This window comes from Homo sapiens, chromosome 2 (assembly GCF_000001405.40).
Source record: "Homo sapiens chromosome 2, GRCh38.p14 Primary Assembly".
Classification (NCBI taxonomy): domain Eukaryota; kingdom Metazoa; phylum Chordata; class Mammalia; order Primates; family Hominidae; genus Homo; species Homo sapiens.
Window position 1 is genome coordinate 95,027,885 of NC_000002.12, and position 17,733 is coordinate 95,045,617.

Sequence of the window (17,733 nt, forward strand, 5' to 3'; positions counted from 1 at the left end):
AAAAAGACAACCCAATTAGAAAATGGACAATGGACTTGAACAGAGGTTTCTACAAAGAAGATACACAAATGGCCAATATGCACATAAAAAGATGCTTAACATCATCAGGCATTAGGAAAACTAAATTGAAACCACAATGAGGCCAGTTGCGGTGACTCACGCCTGTAATCCCAGCACTTTGGGAGGCTGAGGTGGGTGGATCACCTGAGGTCAGGAGTTCGAGACCAGACTGACCAACATGGTGAAACCCCATCTCTACTAAAAATACAAAAAAAAAAAAAAAAAAAAAAAACCCGGCTTGGGTGGCTCATGCCTGTAGTCCCAGCTACTCAGCAGGCTAAGGCATGAGCATCGCTTGAACCTGGGAGGCAGAGGTTGCAGTAAGCCGAGATCATGCCGCTGCACTCCAGCCTGGGCAACAGAGTGAGACTCGGTCTCAAAAAAATAAATTAATAAGTAAATAAATTAAATAAATAGAAAGAAAGAAATCACAATGAGATACCACTTCACACCCATTAGGATGGCTACTATCCAAAAAACGGAAAACATCAAGTATTGGATGTGGAGAAATTGGAACCCTTGGTATGCCACTGGCGGGAATGTGAAATGGTTCAGCCACTGTGGAAAACAGTTTGGTGTTCCCTCAAAAAATTACCCTCTGACCCAGCAATTCCACTCCTGGGTATATAACCAAAGGATTCCAAGCAGGGACTTTAGTATTGGCACATGCATGTTCATAGCAGCAGTCTTCACAATAACACACAGCCCAGTGGCCATCAGCAATGAACTGAATAACAAAGTGCGACATATCCAAACAATGGATACTACCTGACCATAGAAAGGAATGAAGTACTGATACGTGCTACAAAGTTGATAAACCTTGAAAACTCTATGCTAAGCAAAAGACACAAGGCACAAAATGTCATATAGTGTATGATTCCGTTTATATAAAATACTGGAATAGATAAATCCATAGAGACAGAACACAAACCCTGGTGGTTTGCCAGGGACCAAGGGGAGCAATTGTTTAATCGCTATGTGGTTTCTTTTTGGGGGTAATGAAAATGCTTTGGAATTAGATTGAGTTGGTGGGTGCACAACACCATGAATGTACTAAATGCCACTGAACTGTCAACTTAAAATGATTGGTTTGATGATATGTGAATTTCACCTCAAGTTTAAAAAACAAAAAATAGAAATATTTCAAATGCCACAGAAGAACATATACAATACTTTAACAGACACCTACATAATTATTGCCCAACTTTGTCAAATCTTAATATTTTGCCTTGTTTGCTGTTATGTATTAAGGAAATGAAGCTTTCAGATGGCATCTAAGCCTCCTAGACATCCTTCTGTTATCTTATTCTCTCTCTCCCTCCGTCCTCAGGGCCACCTGTAGGCTGAATGTGGTGTTCACTTCCAAGCACAGGTTAGACTTTTACTGCACACATATGAACTACACATGGCATTGTTTTACATGTTTTCGCACTTTATGAAAATGCCAGCATACAGTACGTATCCTTCTGCAACATGCTTTCCAGGCAACATTATGTTCTGAGATTTATACATGTTGACTTTGTTTACCCAGTCTTCTGTTAATAGACACTTTGGATAGTTCCAATTTGCTGCCTTTAGCTATTGCAGACAGCATTGCTAAGAACATTCTCATATTTGCCTCTGTAGTTACCTGTTGGAAATGTCTCCCAGAGACACTTGGAGGATGTGACTTGTTGGGTCACAGGGGATATGCACATTGTCATTTTCCCAGGTGTTATCACATTGCCGTCCAAAAGAGTAATTCCAATTTACACACCCCAGGAGCAGATTTACTGGGAAGCTGATGTTTAATTAAGTTCAAGACCCCTACTTACTCAAGCCCCTTCCAAGACTCTGCCTAATTTTGTATTCTCTTATAAAGATGGTCCTCCTGATTGTTTAAGCTTCAGGCTAAACCTGGACCTTCCCCGGCCCCTACCAGCAGCACATGAAAGTCGCCATTGTTCCTCATCACTTGGTAGCGTCAGACTTTATAATTTTCTGCTAGTCCAATGGGTGTGAAATGCTTGATTATTTTTTAAATCTGTAGTCCACTGAGTTGTTGATGACTCATAGTTCAGATTCCCATGCCTGACCTCCCAACAGCCTGGGAGGCGCAGATGTCCAAGCTGATCCGGGTGGAGCGCCACTTCCATGGTGAGGGGACTGCCCACTGGAGCAAGTGAGGGTGGCAGCTCAGGGTGGGGCATAGCAACCTCTCCTTGGCCCAGCACCCCTATCCCAGACCTCCTGACCTCTGAAAGCTGCAGAGTCCTCACAGGAAGAGGAAGGCAGGCCCAACTAGGAAGTGAGACTGCCTTTCCAAATACCTCCAGAGCCACAGAGGCTGTGCCCCTATTGCAGGTGGTGTGGTCATCAGTGCAGCCCCATATAGGCCAAGGGTGAAATAGCCAATGCTCTCCCCTCCTCCAACAAAACCCAGGGCTTTGCTTCTCGTCTGCTCCCCTGCAAAAGTCCCACCCAGTGAGGAACTTTTCCTTTTGGAGCCACTCTCTGTCTCTGTCTCCGTCTCCATTCTAAGCCAGGGACTTCCTTGACACTGGGCCACCATTCAGGGAATGAAAGGTTCACAGGGAAGGCTTTCTGTCTCAGCTGGGGCCCCCAGATGCGAGGTCTCCCACAGAGTGCCAGGAGAGACCCCCTACCCATTCAGGACTTGTGAAGGAAGTGCCTGAAGAGGGTTGTGAGATCATCTACTCAGCCCCCTCCTCCCCAGGCCACAAAGGAGGCAGGGTTGTGAGTGAGGGTGTGAGGAATGCCGCCCAGCCCTCCAGGGGCATGCCCTTCCTCCTCTGTGCCTCAGAAACACGAACAGAAGTGCAGTCACATCACGGGTTGGGGTTGGGGTGGGGAGACACCCGCAATCAGTTTGCAGTTTTGACAGTTACAGTGAACTGGACAGAGTAATGACTAAAATGACACCTTTTCTGTGACCCAAAGTGACTGGACTGTTATTAAGAGTGACCAGAGAGGTCTGGGGACTTCTGCTAGATTTCTACCTGGCTGGGGAATAGCCAGCCCGACAGAGCCGGGACTGGGCCATGGGCCAGCGAGGCAGTTTCGCATTAGGTGGTCCAAGCTGTGGCTGCACTGAGAAGGTGGCATGGGAACTCCTAGGAGACCAGAGACGTAGAATGACAGAAACCTCACTTTCAGAGCTGGCAGGGAACTGAGGCTCAGACAGGGAGCAACTTGCCTGGGTCACCGGGTCTCCAGGGTCCAGTGAGCACTTCTGGCAGTGAGCAGATCATGCCCAGGCTTCTCCTTTCACCTAATCAGCCACACGAGATTTTGCTTGCACTAGAAGGCACACTGGGATCCTGAGTAGGCAGCCCTGCCCACCTGGCAGCTCTGGGCAAGGCTTGGTCCCTTCTCTCCCCCAACAGGAATGAAGGGACAGCTCAGGACCACTGGGAAGCTCACACCTCCTCTGGGTCTCCTTGTCAAAAACACACCCTGCAGGTTCTGAGTCACGAGGTCCAGGGCAGGTTGAAGAACCCGCATTGCACTGCACACCCTCCACTGACTGGCTGAGACTTGGAGCGGACATCTCGAGGCCAGGCCACCCTCTTGATATTTTTATGGGGGATAGAATAGTGGGAACAGTTCTCAGGGAGAGGCTGGGGCAAGCAGCCAGGTGCTCTGAGGTTCTCACAAGTCAGACCAGGGACCTCCTCTGTTCTGGAGAAAGTTCCCTGCTGTGCTAGCTAGGAGCCTCTCCTACAGGCACCAGGGAGTGGGGCAGGCCCCGCTTGGCCAGAATGGGATGGTGGCTGAGTTGGCCTTCTCTGACTGTGTCCACTGGCTCCTGGCTCTGTCCCTTCTCTGTAGCTATTTAGAGAGGGCTACTGCCTGATCTTCCGTGTTTTCTCCTCTCTTCCTCTCTAAAGGGAGGAGAAGTGTTCTAGACAGAGATTTCACAGGGGTTTGGTGGAGAAGTGACTTTTCTGGTTTTTCAAGACCAGAGGCTGGCTTTGGTGAGGACTCAGTAACTTTGAGCTGCTCCCTGGAAACTGCTAAGTGTGATGATGGGGCTCATCTCCACAGGATTGTCAGACATGTGTCATCACACCTGAGCTATATTTTAAAAGATTGCCTTTTAGCTTTTCATAAGTCACTCCCCCACCTCACAGGGATGGGGCAATGCCAGAACTGGTGCAAAGGCACCCTTTCTGTCCCAGTGCTTTCAGAAGTGAGTAGGAAGCCCCACGATGCTGCTGCCAGCAGCGCTCACACTCAGGTCGGCCAGGGACAAGGGCTGAATTTTGCACCTATACTCGCCACACCAGCAGGCGAGGGGCAGAGCATATTGTGCTGCCAGCACAGACTAGCTCTGCACAGCCTTAGCAGTGGCTTGGCTTTGTCCTGGGCCCAGACACATTCTCCAGAGAAGGGGCTGGGAGTAGGGACTGGACCACCTGGGACCTGCCTTGACACAGGACAGAGCCAGCCAGACTTGAACTAGAAGGGGCTGGGGGCTGACTTAAGCCACTCCAGGGCTTCCTCCTGGCCCCTCCAGTGTCAGTGCCGGACATGGTGCTTTGGACCAGCAGGCCTCAGGGACAGGTGCTGATAGGACACCCCAGAGGGTGTACCCTCCTGGTGTTGATGGGTGTGAGGACAGTGGGGGACTGTGCCCCTTGTCCTTGAAGCAGGAACGTTCTGGGGTGTGTGGCCAGCTCCTTCTCACAGCTTTCAGATTGTTCCCAAGGGCATGGAGCATGGAGCAGGTCCCTCGTGGTCTCTCATCAATTTGGAAGGCTCCAAATTGCCTTTGACACCCTGGTGAAAGGTTTGATACCCAGTGAGCTCCTAGCTGGGCATGAGCAGTGTAGCCATTTCCCTTCTTGGGGTCATGAACGTGCCACACTCTGCTTCTCTGCAGCACTTCTCCCCAGGCTCTCTGCCGCTGCTACCTCATTCACAGCTAGTGTTCTATGCCAGGATTGGGTGAATCATTTTAATGTACCCGGGCCCTGGGTCCTGCAAAACATATGTAGGAAATCAAAGGAAAGCCTGTCACCAGCCACAGCACCTCCGCAGCGGGAAGAGAAGGTGCAGGGTCGCACAGCCAGCCTCACTGACCTGCAGTTCCTGGCCACAGCCTCCAGTCCCTGTGAGAATGCAGTGGGCTGGGAGGGGAGGGGCTGGAAGGGCAGGGGGAGGAGACAGAAAGTGAAGGTCCCAGAACCAACTTGGAGGGAGGCCCACGGGGGGCCCGGGAGGTGGGCACTCCAGGAATAGGGCCACGGGGAAGGACAGAAGATGACGTTCCCTGACCTGTCAGTGGAGTGGGGCGGGTGGGGTCTGCATGGCAGCCCCTCCCTCTTCTTCAGACTGAACTACAGGCCTGCATCTGCCGAAGAGGGAGCGGGATCCTTTGGCATTTCATCTTGTGCTGTATGTGTCTTAAACACAAACCTTGCTATTGTTTTCCTCTGAAGAAACAGAGGATATTGAGACTCATTGTTTCAGTGGCGGGCCAGGGAGGGAGAAGCCGGCTGGGAGTGGCCTAAAGACTAAGTGGTTATTCGCCACTTAGTTAACATGGAGGAGGCTCCATGTTAACGCGCCTGTAATCCTGGCACTCTGGGAGGTCAAGGTGAGAGGATCACTTGAGGTCAGGAGTTTGAGATCAGCCTGGGCAACATAGCAAGACCCCATTTCTACAAAAAATGTAAACAATTAGCCAACTATGATGGCTTGCACCCATAGTCCCAGCTACTCAGGAGGCTGGGATGGGAGGATTGCTTGAGCCTGGAGGTCAAGGCTGTAGTGAGCTGTGATCGCATCACTGCCCTCCAGTGTGGGTGACAGAGTGAGAACCTGTCATCAAAACAAAAATCTCATGGCCATTTCCAAAGCTGACCCTAGACACAAGAGGTAACTGTCACACCCATGGGGGCCTGGATCTGGGCCTCAGCCAGCTCATCAAAGGAGCACCCGGCAGCTGTGGGAACGTGGGCAGGTAACTGTGCCTCAGTTTCTGCATCAGTAAAATTTGGACATAGCAGCACCTGCCTCACATAGCTACTGCCCCATAGCTATCAAGTGCTGTTATTATTAGTTGACTAATAATTTAAGCATCTGCTCTGAAACCAACTGGCCGACCTGTGCCGATGGCAGGGTCCGCAAGGCCCGCCCCCATCACCTTTGCCATAGGTGCCCTCTGTTCCATTCTCAGGCAGGTGCTGCATGAGGATTGGGATTGGGCCAGGCTGTGGAGGGCACACTTGACTTTTCCCTGGAGTCACCGAGTCCTGCACAGACACCACCTTCCTGGGGCCTTCCCAGTGGCTCTCCTCTCACCAAGAAGGAACAACTGAGGGCAGAGGTCAGTGTGTCCTCAGCTAAGAGCTTGATGGAGCAGCCAAGGGGTGGAGGACAGTGTGGCAGCCCCAGCCTGCCTTCTGCCCAGGGAGCAGGCTGCTTTCTAAGCCTCTCTGCATCACCCTGCCAGCCTGGTGCCAAGATGGGCAGGCAGAGCTTTGTGGATTCTGAGTGTGACACATAGCTACATCTGCCCGCAGGCGTAGGAATGAATTATCAGCAGGCTCAGATTAAAGCTTTCAAAAGCGATTTGTCATCAGTGTCAGTGTGTCGGCTGTATGCAAGGGCATCAGTTCAGGGAGGGGGCAGCCTCTGGCAAAAACCTGTGCCCTCACCTCCCCCAGCCTCCATCCTGGCCCCCAGCTGCTTGGCAGGAGGGCATAGTTGGATTGAGGGGCCTGGCAGGAAAGGAACCGCCGAGCTTATGGGTCTCAGGACTATTTCTAAAACCAGCCACAGACCTCCTTCATCTCCATCTGTGGTCAGGTTGGGGGCAGCAGTGGGAATGCTTCTTTGTTGGAGGTGACCCTTTAGGCCCGAGCTAACCCATCCCCTCCACCGGGAAGCCCACCCTTCTAGCACCCTTTCCTGGCACTCAGAGCACATCCTGCAGACCTTTGCTTATTGTCTGTCTCGTGCCTACACCCTAAGTCTGCCCACATCCCTGGCACAGATCAAGAACTCTGAAACATTTGTTCTCAGCAAGCATCGGTAGGGAAGGGGCTCGGGTCTCCTCTCTCACCTACCTAACACTGATGAATCATAAGATGAGTCCTTGACCTCAAAGGCGGACAGAGGGTGAAACTGACAAAGGCTGCCAGTCCCCAAGAGACTCTGGGAGTTCCATCTCCCTTGGACCCTCCCAGACCCTGGGCGGGCAGCCTTCTGTCGCCTCTGGCAGGTGTACACCTGTTTTGTTGGTTTGTTCACATTACTAACCTACCTGGTGACTCCCATAAATCCCTTTTGTTTTTCTTGCATTTAAGCCACTCCTGTCTGGTCCAGCATTTCCACGGATTTTGCCTTTTACAGGTGGCTTACCCAGTATTTTCACAGAACCTCTTGGTTTCTGTTTATCCTGCTGGGTAAGGCCAGCAGGTGTAGATGTGGTAGGCAGAATTTTCCATTCAAATGAAGACATGCCTATCAGAAAGCCCCTAGATTTGTGGATCTGAGAGGAGTTTTTGTGCATTCAGGAACTAGTGACCATCCTCTAGCTCATGAGGGAGGTGGGTGTTAAGTCAGCAGTCACTTTGTCCTGCTGGCAGCGTGTGCTATGGGAGAGGCTTCCCTGGGGCTCAAGGGGGGTGAGATTGCAAGCCTGAACAGGGGGCTCTTCCCAGTCCAACTTGCCTTGTTAATATAAACTATGGCCCTCCACTCAGCTCTTAGATTTTTTTTTTTTTTTTTTTTGAGACAGAGTCTTGCTCTGTCGCCCAGGCTGGAGTGCAGTGGCATGATCTCGGCTCACTGCAACCTCTGCCTCCTGGGCTCACGCCATTCTCCTGCCTCAGCCTCCTGAGTAGCTGGGACTACAGGCGCCCACCACCACACCCGGCTAATTTTTTGTATTTTTAGTAGAGACGGGGTTTCACCGTGTTAGCCAGGATAGTCTCAATCTCCTGACCTCGTGATCCGCTCACCTCAGCCTCCCCAAGTGCTGGGATTACAGGCGTGAGCCACCGTGCCCAGCAACAGCTCTTCGATCTTTTAATCCCAAATCTCTATCCCCTTCTTCACAAACTGATCCAAACCCGCTGAGTCCTGCTCTTGCCTTCAGATTAGATAAGGAACACTGTCTAAGGCTAGCTGGGGGTGATGATGGCATGAGGGGTCCCTCTGGGAGGAAGAAGCCTGCTAATGAAGAGGCCAGGAGGGGAGAGTGACTGGTGTAGGTAAACCAAGTCAGGTCCCAGCCCCGCTCCCAGGGTTCTCTTTGGTAGCAGTCCCAGGGGTCAGACTCCCAATAATCTGCCTTTTCAGTTGATGCAGGGAGAGGGTCACCACCCAGAGAATCTCGGACCCCTCCCCCGATCTCTCCTCATGGGCTCAGGTGGGGATCTTGTGCCAACTACCGGGCTCTGTACCTGTCCTGTGTGACGTTTGGTATCTGGTCACCATTGCTCAGACACTGACACTTTCACCAGGCCTGAATCCACCCTTGGTGGACCCAGAACTGCTCCAGTGGGGACTGTGGCAAGACTGCATGAGAGAGGAGAGGAAGGGAGAGATGGGCTACGTTCATTAAAGTGTGTCTTTGAATGAGATCCATTTCCCTGGGTGTGCCTGCCTTAGTGTTGACCATGCCACTGTCAGCATCTGTTAAATGCGTGAGTGAATGAATGAATGAATGACCAAGTGAGTGAGTCAGTGAGTGAGTAAGAGAGTGAGTGACTGAGTGACTAACTGAGTGACTGAGTGAGTGAGTGACTGAGTGAGTGACCAAGTGAGTGAGTGAGTGGCTGAGTGAGTGACCGAGTGAGTGACTGAGTGAGTGAGTGACTGAGTGAGTGACTGAGTGACTGAGTGTGTGAGTGAGTGACTTAGTGACTGAGTGAGTGACTGAATGGGTGAGTGAGTGAGTGAGTGACTGAGTGACTGAGTGAGTAACTGAGTGGGTGAGTGAGTGACTGAGTGAGTGACTGAGTGACTGAGTAGGTGAGTGACTGAGTGAGTGACTGAGTGACTGAGTGACCGAGTGAGTGAGTGACTGAGTGAGTGAATGAGTGACTGAGTTACTGAGTGAGTGAATGAGTGACTGAGTGGGTGAGTGAGTGACTGAGTGGGTGAGTGACTGAGTGGGTGAGTGAATGAGTGAGTGAGTGGGTGAGTGAGTGACTGAGTGGGTGAGTGAGTGAGTGAGTGACTGAGTGAGTAACTGAGTGGGTGAGTGAGTGACTGAGTGAGTGACTGAGTGACTGAGTAGGTGAGTGACTGAGTGACTGAGTGACCAAGTGAGTGAGTGACTGAGTGAGTGAATGAGTGACTGAGTGGGTGAGTGAGTGACTGACTGGGTGAATGACTGATGGGTGAGTGAATGAGTGAGTGAGTGGCTGAGTGAGTGACTGAGTGGGTGAGTGAGTGACTGAGTGAGTGAGTGACTGAGTGATTGACTGAGTGAGTGAGTGACTGAGTGAGTGACTGAGTGGGTGAGTGAGTGACTGAGTGACTGAGTGAGTGACTGAGTGACTAACTGAGTGACTGAGTGACTGAGTGAGTGACTGAGTGACTGAGTGAGTGAGTGAGTGAGCAAGCGAGTGAGTGACTGAGTGAGTGAGTGAGTGACTGAGTGAGTGAGTGACTGAGTGACTGAGTGAGTGAGTGGGTGAGTAACAGAGTGAGTGAGTGACTAAGTAAGTGAGTGAGTGAGCAAGCGAGTGAGTGAGTGACTGACTGAGTGACTGAGTGAGTGAGTGAGTGGGTGAGTGAGTGACTGAGTGAGTGACTGAGTCAGTGAGTGACTGAGTGGGTGAGTGAGTGACTGAGTGAGTGACTGAGTGAGTGACTGAGTGACTGTGTGAGTGACTAAGTGAGTGAGTGAGTGACTCAGTGAGTGAGTGACTGAGTGACTGAGTGTGTGAGTGACTGACTGAGTGAGTGAGAGACTGAGTGACCGAGTGGGTGAGTGAGTGACTTGGTGAGTGAGTGACTGAGTGAGTGAGTGAGTAACTGAGTGAGTGAGTGACTGAGTGAGTGAGTGAGTGACTGAGTGAGTGACTGAGTGGATGAGTGAGTGACTGAGTGACTGTGTGAGTGACTGAGTGAGTGAGTGAGTGACTCAGTGAGTGAGTGACTGAGTGATTGAGTGTGTGAGTGACTGACTGAGTGAGTGAGAGACTGAGTGACCGAGTGGGTGAGTGACTTGATGAGTGAGTGACTGAGTGGATGAGTGAGTGACTGAGTGACTGTGTGAGTTACTGAGTGAGTGAGTGAGTGACTCAGTGAGTGAGTGACTGAGTGACTGAGTGTGTGAGTGACTGACTGAGTGAGTGAGAGACTGAGTGACCGAGTGGGTGAGTGAGTGACTTGGTGAGTGAGTGACTGAGTGAGTGAGTGACTGAGTGAGTGAGTAACTGAGTGAGTGAGTGGCTAAGTGAGTGAGTGACTAAGTGAGTGAGTGAGTGAGCAAGTGAGTGAGTGACTGAATGAGTGACTGAGTGACTGAGTGAGTGACTGAGTGAGTGACTGAGTGGGTGAGTGAGTGACTGAGTGAGTGAGTGAGTGACTGAGTGAGTGAGTGGGTGAGTGAGTGACTGAGTGAGTGACTGAGTGACTGAGTGAGTGAGTGAGTGACTGAGTGACTGAGTGAGTGACTGAGTGACTGAGTGGGTGAGTGACTGAGTGAGTGAGTGAGTGACTGAGTGACTGAGTGAGTGAGTGACTGTGTGACTGAGTGAGTGACTGACTGAGTGAGTGACTGAGTGACTGAGTGGGTGAGTGACTGACTGAGTAAGAGACTGAGTGAGTAAGTGACTGACTGACTGAGTGAGTGACTGAGTGAGTGAGCAAGTGAGTGAGTGACTGAGTGAGTGACCGAGTGACTGAGTGAGTGAGTGAGCAAGTGAGTGAATGACCGAGTGACTGAGTGAGTGACTGAGTGGGTGAGTGAGTGACTGAGTGGGTGAGTGAGTGACTAAGTGAGTGACTGAGTAGGTGAGTGAGTGACCGAGTGACTGAGTGAGCAAGTGAGTGAGTGACTGAGTGAGTGACCGAGTGACTGAGTGAGTGACTGAGTGGGTGAGTCAGTGACTGAGTGAGTGAGTGACTGAGTGACTGAGTGGGTGAGTGAGTGAGTGAGTGACTGATTGAGTGACTGAGTGAGTGAGTGAGTAAGTGTCTGAGTGACTGAGTGAGTGAGTGAGTGAGTGAGTGACTGAGTGACTGAATGGGTGAGTGAGTGACTTGGTGAGTGAGTGAGTGACTGAGTGAGTGACTGAGTGAGTGAGTGAGTGAGTGACTGAGTGACTGAGTGAGTAAGTGTCTGAGTGACTGAGTGGGTGAGTGACTGAGTGAGTGACTGAGTGACTGAGTGGGTGAGTGAGTGAGTGAGTGACTGAGTGAGTGAGTGAGTGAGTGACTGACTGACTGACTGAGTAACTGAGTGAGTGAGTGAGTGAGTGAGTGACTGAGTGAATGGGTGAGTGAGTGAGTGACTGAGTGACTGAGTGAGTGAGTGAGTGAGTGAGTGGGTGAGTGAGTGAGTAAGTGACTGAGTGACTGAGTGGGTGAGTGACTGAGTGAGTGACTGAGTGACTGAGTGGGTGAGTGAGTGACTTGGTAAGTGAGTGACTGAGTGAGTCAGTGACTGAGTGGGTGGGTGAGTGACTGAGTGAGTGAGTGACAGTGGGTGAGTGAGTGACTGAGTGAGTGACTGAGTGAGGACTGAGTGAGTGAGGACTGAGTGAGTGACTGAGTGAGTGACTGAGTGACTGAGTGAGGACTGAGTGAGTGACTGAGTGAGTGAGTGGGTGAGTGAGCGAGTGAGTGACTGAGTGAGTGAGGGAAGCTTCCCTCTGGCTTGCTGGGACTGAGTTCCTTCGTACCAGGAGGTAGGTAGGGCTAACACAAATAAAGAAGCCAAACGGTGTTACTCCTTGCCTCTCAGAACTGGAACAGAGTCCCCTATCCTCCCTCTCAGATGCATTTTCTTAGGGGAAGAGCCGCAGGACTTTGCGGAAGCCTTCAGCATTTAGGGGTCTTGGGTCTTCCCCTGACCTCCTGCTCTGTGCATATTCATTCTCCTACCACCTGGTGCTCGGTGCCCTCTTAACTTCATCCGGGCATCAAAGCCTGTTGTGCCATTTACTTGCTCTACAGTAGCTCATCCTTAACCCAGCTCTACCTACCTACACACACACACACACACACGTGCATTCACATGCACACACATGCATGCACGTGCACACACATATACACAGGCATACACAGGCACATGCACACATACATATACACATGCATATGCGGCACCATACACATACATACACATGCACAGACATACACACATACATACATGAATACACACCTGCACGCAAACACATACACATGCATACAGAGAAGTACACACATGTGCATACATACACATACTTATAGGCACATGCATGCACATATACACAAGCATACATGTACACACACACACACATACACATACATACGCACAGAAAAATGCTTCCTACCCTCTATCTCACTCTTAGAATGATTAGCTTTAAATCAATCAACCCATAGAGCTGGGCAAAGCCTGCTGAGCCTCTCCTGAACCACACAGTTGTTTTTCTGGTCAGATGACCTACACAAAATGTCCTCCTGGCATTGAAATAACCCTTGGCTGCTAAGACGACTCAGTGAGTGAATAGATTGCCAGAAACATGAGTGGGGGGTGCTCCTCCTGGTGGCCTTGGGAAAGCACAGAAGGGCTGGGAGCTTCCCGCAGTCCTCCCAGCAGACGGGGATGAGTCCACATGCCTCCCTCGTCTGGCGGGGACATCTCTTCTTTTCCTTTCTGGGGAGATGATTTTTGCCACTTGACCTAAGTGGCAGGGGAGCTCAACAATGGTGCACAGCCTCTGTTCTGTGGCTGGTTTCCTTTACACCTCAAGAATTCAAGGCACAAACTGTTGTTCACATATGCCTTTAAAGGCACACACCACGTGCTCGGTGCTGTTGGGAATTCTGATGCTGGGCTCTGGGGACCACACCACCAGGTGTGTAGATGGAAAGCCTTGCCTGGGAAGACCTCTTTGGTTCATGTCTTGATGTGTCCTTGGAAGAATTTCCGTTTGTGGAGGCCCTAACAGAGTGAAATGGAGCCCCAGAAAAATATCCAGAGAATTTGAGCAAGCCCTCTGCATTGCCTCTGTTACCCAGCCCTGCAGCGGAAACACTGGGGACTGTGGATGAAGAGTTCTTTCAGCCACAGGGAATGGAAACTCCAGACGAATCTCAAGAATGTGCCAGAGAATGCGTCTTCCCGTCCTTGATGACCAGGCCCGTTGTTGGAAGGAAGGCCGGCTCATATCTTAGTGCCCTTTGTGCTTCCTTGTGCGGGTCAGGCACATTTTTCTCAACTTTTGGTTTCTGGAGACCATAGGTTTTCTCTTTTTGATTCTTTTGAGGTTGTTTTAAAATTCTGGCTCTTTTTGGACAAGTTTTGGAGTAGATGATTGTGTGTATTGAGATCATATTCAGACTGCTGGGATTTTTCACATAGTTACAGAAGAGGCTGCTTCATCTAATGACAGTTGTGACAACAAGCGCTTAGTGGCAGCCGGGTGCTGGTCCCCTGCAGATATAACCTGAGTCACAACTACTGTTATCACTACTTTTCAGATGAGGGGACAGAGAGATTCAATAACTTGCCCAGGGACAGCAGGTCACCCAGCTAGTGACACAGCTCACTTCAAACTCGTCAACCCTGGCTCCCAAGTGCACACCCTTAACCACCTCTTAAGCACCCTGGCTGCCTCCCATGATTAATTTGGAAAGAAAACATGAGAAGCTTCTCCAAGTTCACACAAGAGCTCCCAGGAAGACAATTCCTGACAGATTTTTTTTTTCACAAACATCATTTCATTGGGTAGACCATGGATGTGAACTCTGGAAACTTTTTGTCCAGTTTTGTACATTACCCCATGTTCTTAGAGAAGCTCAACTCTGCTAACCCCCCGACAACTGGACAGAATTAAAGATGGGTGGTTTCCAGCTCTGTCATACCAGGGTTGGGAGGGGCCTCCAAACGCCCATGCACCCTCTCAGTCCCCATCCTGAGACAGTGAGGCTGCATCTCAGAGTTCAGAGGAAACCCAAGGACGAGCTAGTCTCATGTTCCAGGCAAGAAAGGGTTCCAAGCTCGAGGAGAAGAGAGGAGAGGAGGGGAAAGGAGAGGAAACACTAGGGCGACATTTTGCACTGAGAGGCTGGGCAGGACCTGGAGGGGGGCAGTCGGCTGGCATCGCTGGAAGGCAGGCAGGGCCTTGAGACAGGAGCCGTTTCCTCTTCTGTCTTACAGGAGTTACAGAGCATCGCCCATGGCCTTATGTTACGGCAACACATCACGAGGCCTTGGCCAAGAGTCTGGGACATCTGCCCCATCACTCTGCTTCTTTCATGGGAATCAGACTCTGGGCATGAGCCCTGGGCTTTGGTGGTTTTTTTCTAAAGGTGCCCCAGGTGACTTAATGTATAGTCAGGGCTGAGGAGGATAGAGTGTTTGCTGAGGCCCCACTCCCATCTTCTAACTCAAGGCCCTGGGACTCAGAGCACTCAACCCTTATCCCTCTGCAGCCACCCAACTGGAGACCTTTGAGATCACCCAGCCAGCTGTCCCATCTCTATTTTGATGGACAGTAACAGGGTGCAGCTGTGGGGTCGGAGGAAGTCTGGCCAGTTGGCAGAAACAAAGGGGACACAGCACCGTGCCTCCAGGGTGCCAATAATGTTTTCAAAATAATTGCCTCTTTGCACTGCCACCTGGAGGCTGGGAGCCACCTGGAGTCTCCTTGATGAAAGGAAATGCTTGAACCCTCACATACTCCCTTGCTCTGGACAAATATTTGGCCAGCGGGGTCCTGAGGCCAGGCTGGAACAGATTGCTCTGTGCCCAGGAGTGCCTTAACTCCCTGGTGTGGGTGCCCTTCTTACTCTGTTTGCTCTCTGTACATTTAGTAGGTGGAGCAGGGCAGGAACCAGATTTGACTCATGGTTTACAACAAATCTCAGCTTTGCACACAGCGGGGCTGGAGGCTCACCCTCCCTGGAGCCCCACCTTCTGCTACTCCTTGACCCAAGCCCGGCTGCCCAGCCTTCAGCCTCCAAAGCCCTCACAGCTGCTTCAGCATCCTCTGAGCTTGGCATGTGCCCTTTCTGCCCTCTGGAGAGCCCCTCCCAGTCCTTTGGCCTGGTTAACCAGTTAGGTCCACCTCTCTCTCCAAGGCTCGACTGACCCTATGCACCTGTCCAGGCTGCTCTGCCCACTCGGGGCTGGTTGTCCACCTGCATGTTAAGTGGCTGCTTATGCATCTGTTTCCACTGAGCTGTCAGCCTCCTGCATGAACGACAACTTATTCCCAGGTATTGGTAGTGCTGGGCTCAGTGCCAGAAGCTTCATACTCACATCTGTAGTTTTAGCCAGTTCACACCAGCCCCCAGTGTGGGGAGACTGCTGTGAGTTGCCATTTGCAGAGAGGAAGCTGGGGCCAAGAGGCAGAATCACTTGCTGCAGCGTCCCACAGTGACTTCGGAGGACAGCTCCTCTGAGAACGGGAGTCCCCTGCCAAGGGGAGGGAGCTGGCAGGGCGCCTCTGCATTAGAATTCTCCCAGAGAAGACCGCGGCAAAGGCCTGTGCTCCAAAGGCAAGGGGCATGACTCAGCTGAGGCAACAGCTGTTTCTGTTCCACAGACACCTAGCCGGGAATGAAATCTCTCCTGACTCGGCTGTGCCTTTCCCGTATCCTCCTCTTCTTCTCAGGATTGCTCTTCACCCTCCTCCGCCCTGTCCCCCAGATGGCCCCTGTGACCCTGGGCTCTGCAGTCCTCCCTGGGCATCTCCTGGGCAGTGCTGAGCGGAAGGTCGACCGCCCCACTGCCCATCCCCTGGGAGCAAACCCCTGGCTTTCATGATGTCATCTGTGCTGAGACATCTGTGACTACCTTCACCTTCATATGTTTCTGGGACAGGCAAGGACTGGTGTAAGAGCGTCCCTAGGAACGTGGTTCCTCAGAGGCTTCTGGGTTGGAGGCTCCAGGGACATGAGACACACTCACCCAGGGCCCCCTGAATGGTGGGGTCCAAAAGGGGCACTGTGCAGCTGCAACGGTAGAGATATTCTGTGTAAGTCCCCTTGAGAGAGAATTTCTCACCTGAAGACATTATACTAAATGAAAGAAGTGAGCCACAAAAGTCCATATGTTGAATGATTCCATTCATATGAAAGTTCAAAATATGGAAGTTTGTAGAGATAGAAAGTAGATTAGTGGTTGCTTGGAATGGGGGCAGGGAAGCCACAGCTCATGGGATTTCTTTCCAAGGTGATGACAATGTTCCAAGATTGACTGTGGTGATGGACGCACGTATCTGCGAATATTCTGAAAACCAGGGAATCATACCCTTTCAATGGGGGAACTGCATGGGCTGTGAATTATAGCTCATAAAGCTGTTTAAGAAAAGAAAAAGATAATGTCTCCCCACCATCTCACTATGAAACATACTGCTATAAATATACCATGCAAAGGAAAAAAGTCGGCCTCATTTTTTAAAGGACTCACTTGCAAGGTGATGCCCCCAGAGGCTGGGTGGGGTCCTGAGATCTGTCAGGAGCTGGGGTTAAACCCATAGTGGGCTTTGTTCTATGGACAACTGTGGACAAGGTTCCCACTATAGACTGCAGGAACCTGCGAGCCAGTGTGGGGAGCATGGAATTTCCCAGGGAGCTGGAAAATAGTCTTCATCAGGTTGGTAAAAGCACACACTGGAACAGGGCAGAGTCTGGCCTGACCTCAAGGCCCTCCGCGCAGCTGCCGGAAGCTCAGAGCCCAGGCTGTGGCTGCAGCCAGCAAGGTGCACACAGGAGGCTGTGACCAGCTCTCCACACACTGACTTCCCCTCACTTTTCCTGCCATTGATTCCTCACACCAGTCACATCTTAAGCCACGTGGGAAGAATGGAGTGGAGTGAGATGACTCTGCAGACAGGAGCTGAGGACTACCTTCTCAGATTTGCCATTTCCAGCTGCCATCTGTGCATTAATTTACCTCATATGTATTTTACAGTTAATTTTTCCCAAAATAATGACATTGCAACCATAAGCATAGAAACAATGTCACTATCCGGTTTACCTTTGCCTATCCACGCTATTAGAGAACTCCAGACACCTGGCTCCACCCTGAGCCCTTCTTGCCTTCATCAGAAAAACCAAAGAGAGTAAAGGAGGAGGAAAATCGTTTCCTCACTGTGAAATTCAGTGTTCCTCGATAGCATGTGTATAGGTCACCCGTAAGCGCCTCTGGCCCACGGGGTCCCACTGGGATTCCATAACGGAGTCTCTTCCCAACCATGTGCAACCCAAGCTGCTCCTTTGGGGTTTGGTTCATAAGTGGCTCTAGTTCAGCCACACCCAGGTACCAGGAGACCAAGGCCCGTTAGCTGACTTGGACACCGATGCATGGCTGGATGGGTCTTCTCCTGGTCCCCACCAGTGAGGCAGCTGTGAGCAAGGCAGACCTCAAGCCCACCATCACCTGGTCAGGGAAAGCGCCATGTTATCCCTAACCCAATATACCTGTGTTTGTGCTGAGTGCTACAGAGAAGACGTGCAGGACTCCCTGAGACTGTGTGAACGAGGAAGCAACTT

The 17,733-nt window shown here is 51.1% G+C and overlaps 1 protein-coding gene across 4 annotated transcripts in view, besides 3 other annotated features; it reads left to right on the forward strand.

Annotated features, from left to right (window-relative positions):
• The window catches only part of MAL (mal, T cell differentiation protein (MAL blood group)), a 28,285-nt gene that overhangs the window by 2,177 nt on the left and 8,375 nt on the right, over nt 1-17,733 (forward strand). The window lies entirely within an intron of this gene.
• Nucleotides 3,856-4,771: an enhancer, noted in NCBI's record as "H3K4me1 hESC enhancer chr2:95697485-95698400 (GRCh37/hg19 assembly coordinates)". NCBI's record gives its function as "activates a minimal SCP1, AML or CMV promoter by ChIP-STARR-seq in naive H9 embryonic stem cells {active_cell/tissue: H9 hESC(naive)}" and the evidence as "EXISTENCE:reporter gene assay evidence [ECO:0000049][PMID:30033119]".
• Nucleotides 14,004-14,123: a silencer, noted in NCBI's record as "silent region_11738". NCBI's record gives its function as "represses an Ori minimal core promoter by ATAC-STARR-seq in GM12878 lymphoblastoid cells {active_cell/tissue: GM12878}" and the evidence as "EXISTENCE:reporter gene assay evidence [ECO:0000049][PMID:35858748]".
• Nucleotides 15,704-16,359: an enhancer, noted in NCBI's record as "H3K4me1 hESC enhancer chr2:95709333-95709988 (GRCh37/hg19 assembly coordinates)". NCBI's record gives its function as "activates a minimal SCP1, AML or CMV promoter by ChIP-STARR-seq in primed H9 embryonic stem cells {active_cell/tissue: H9 hESC(primed)}" and the evidence as "EXISTENCE:reporter gene assay evidence [ECO:0000049][PMID:30033119]".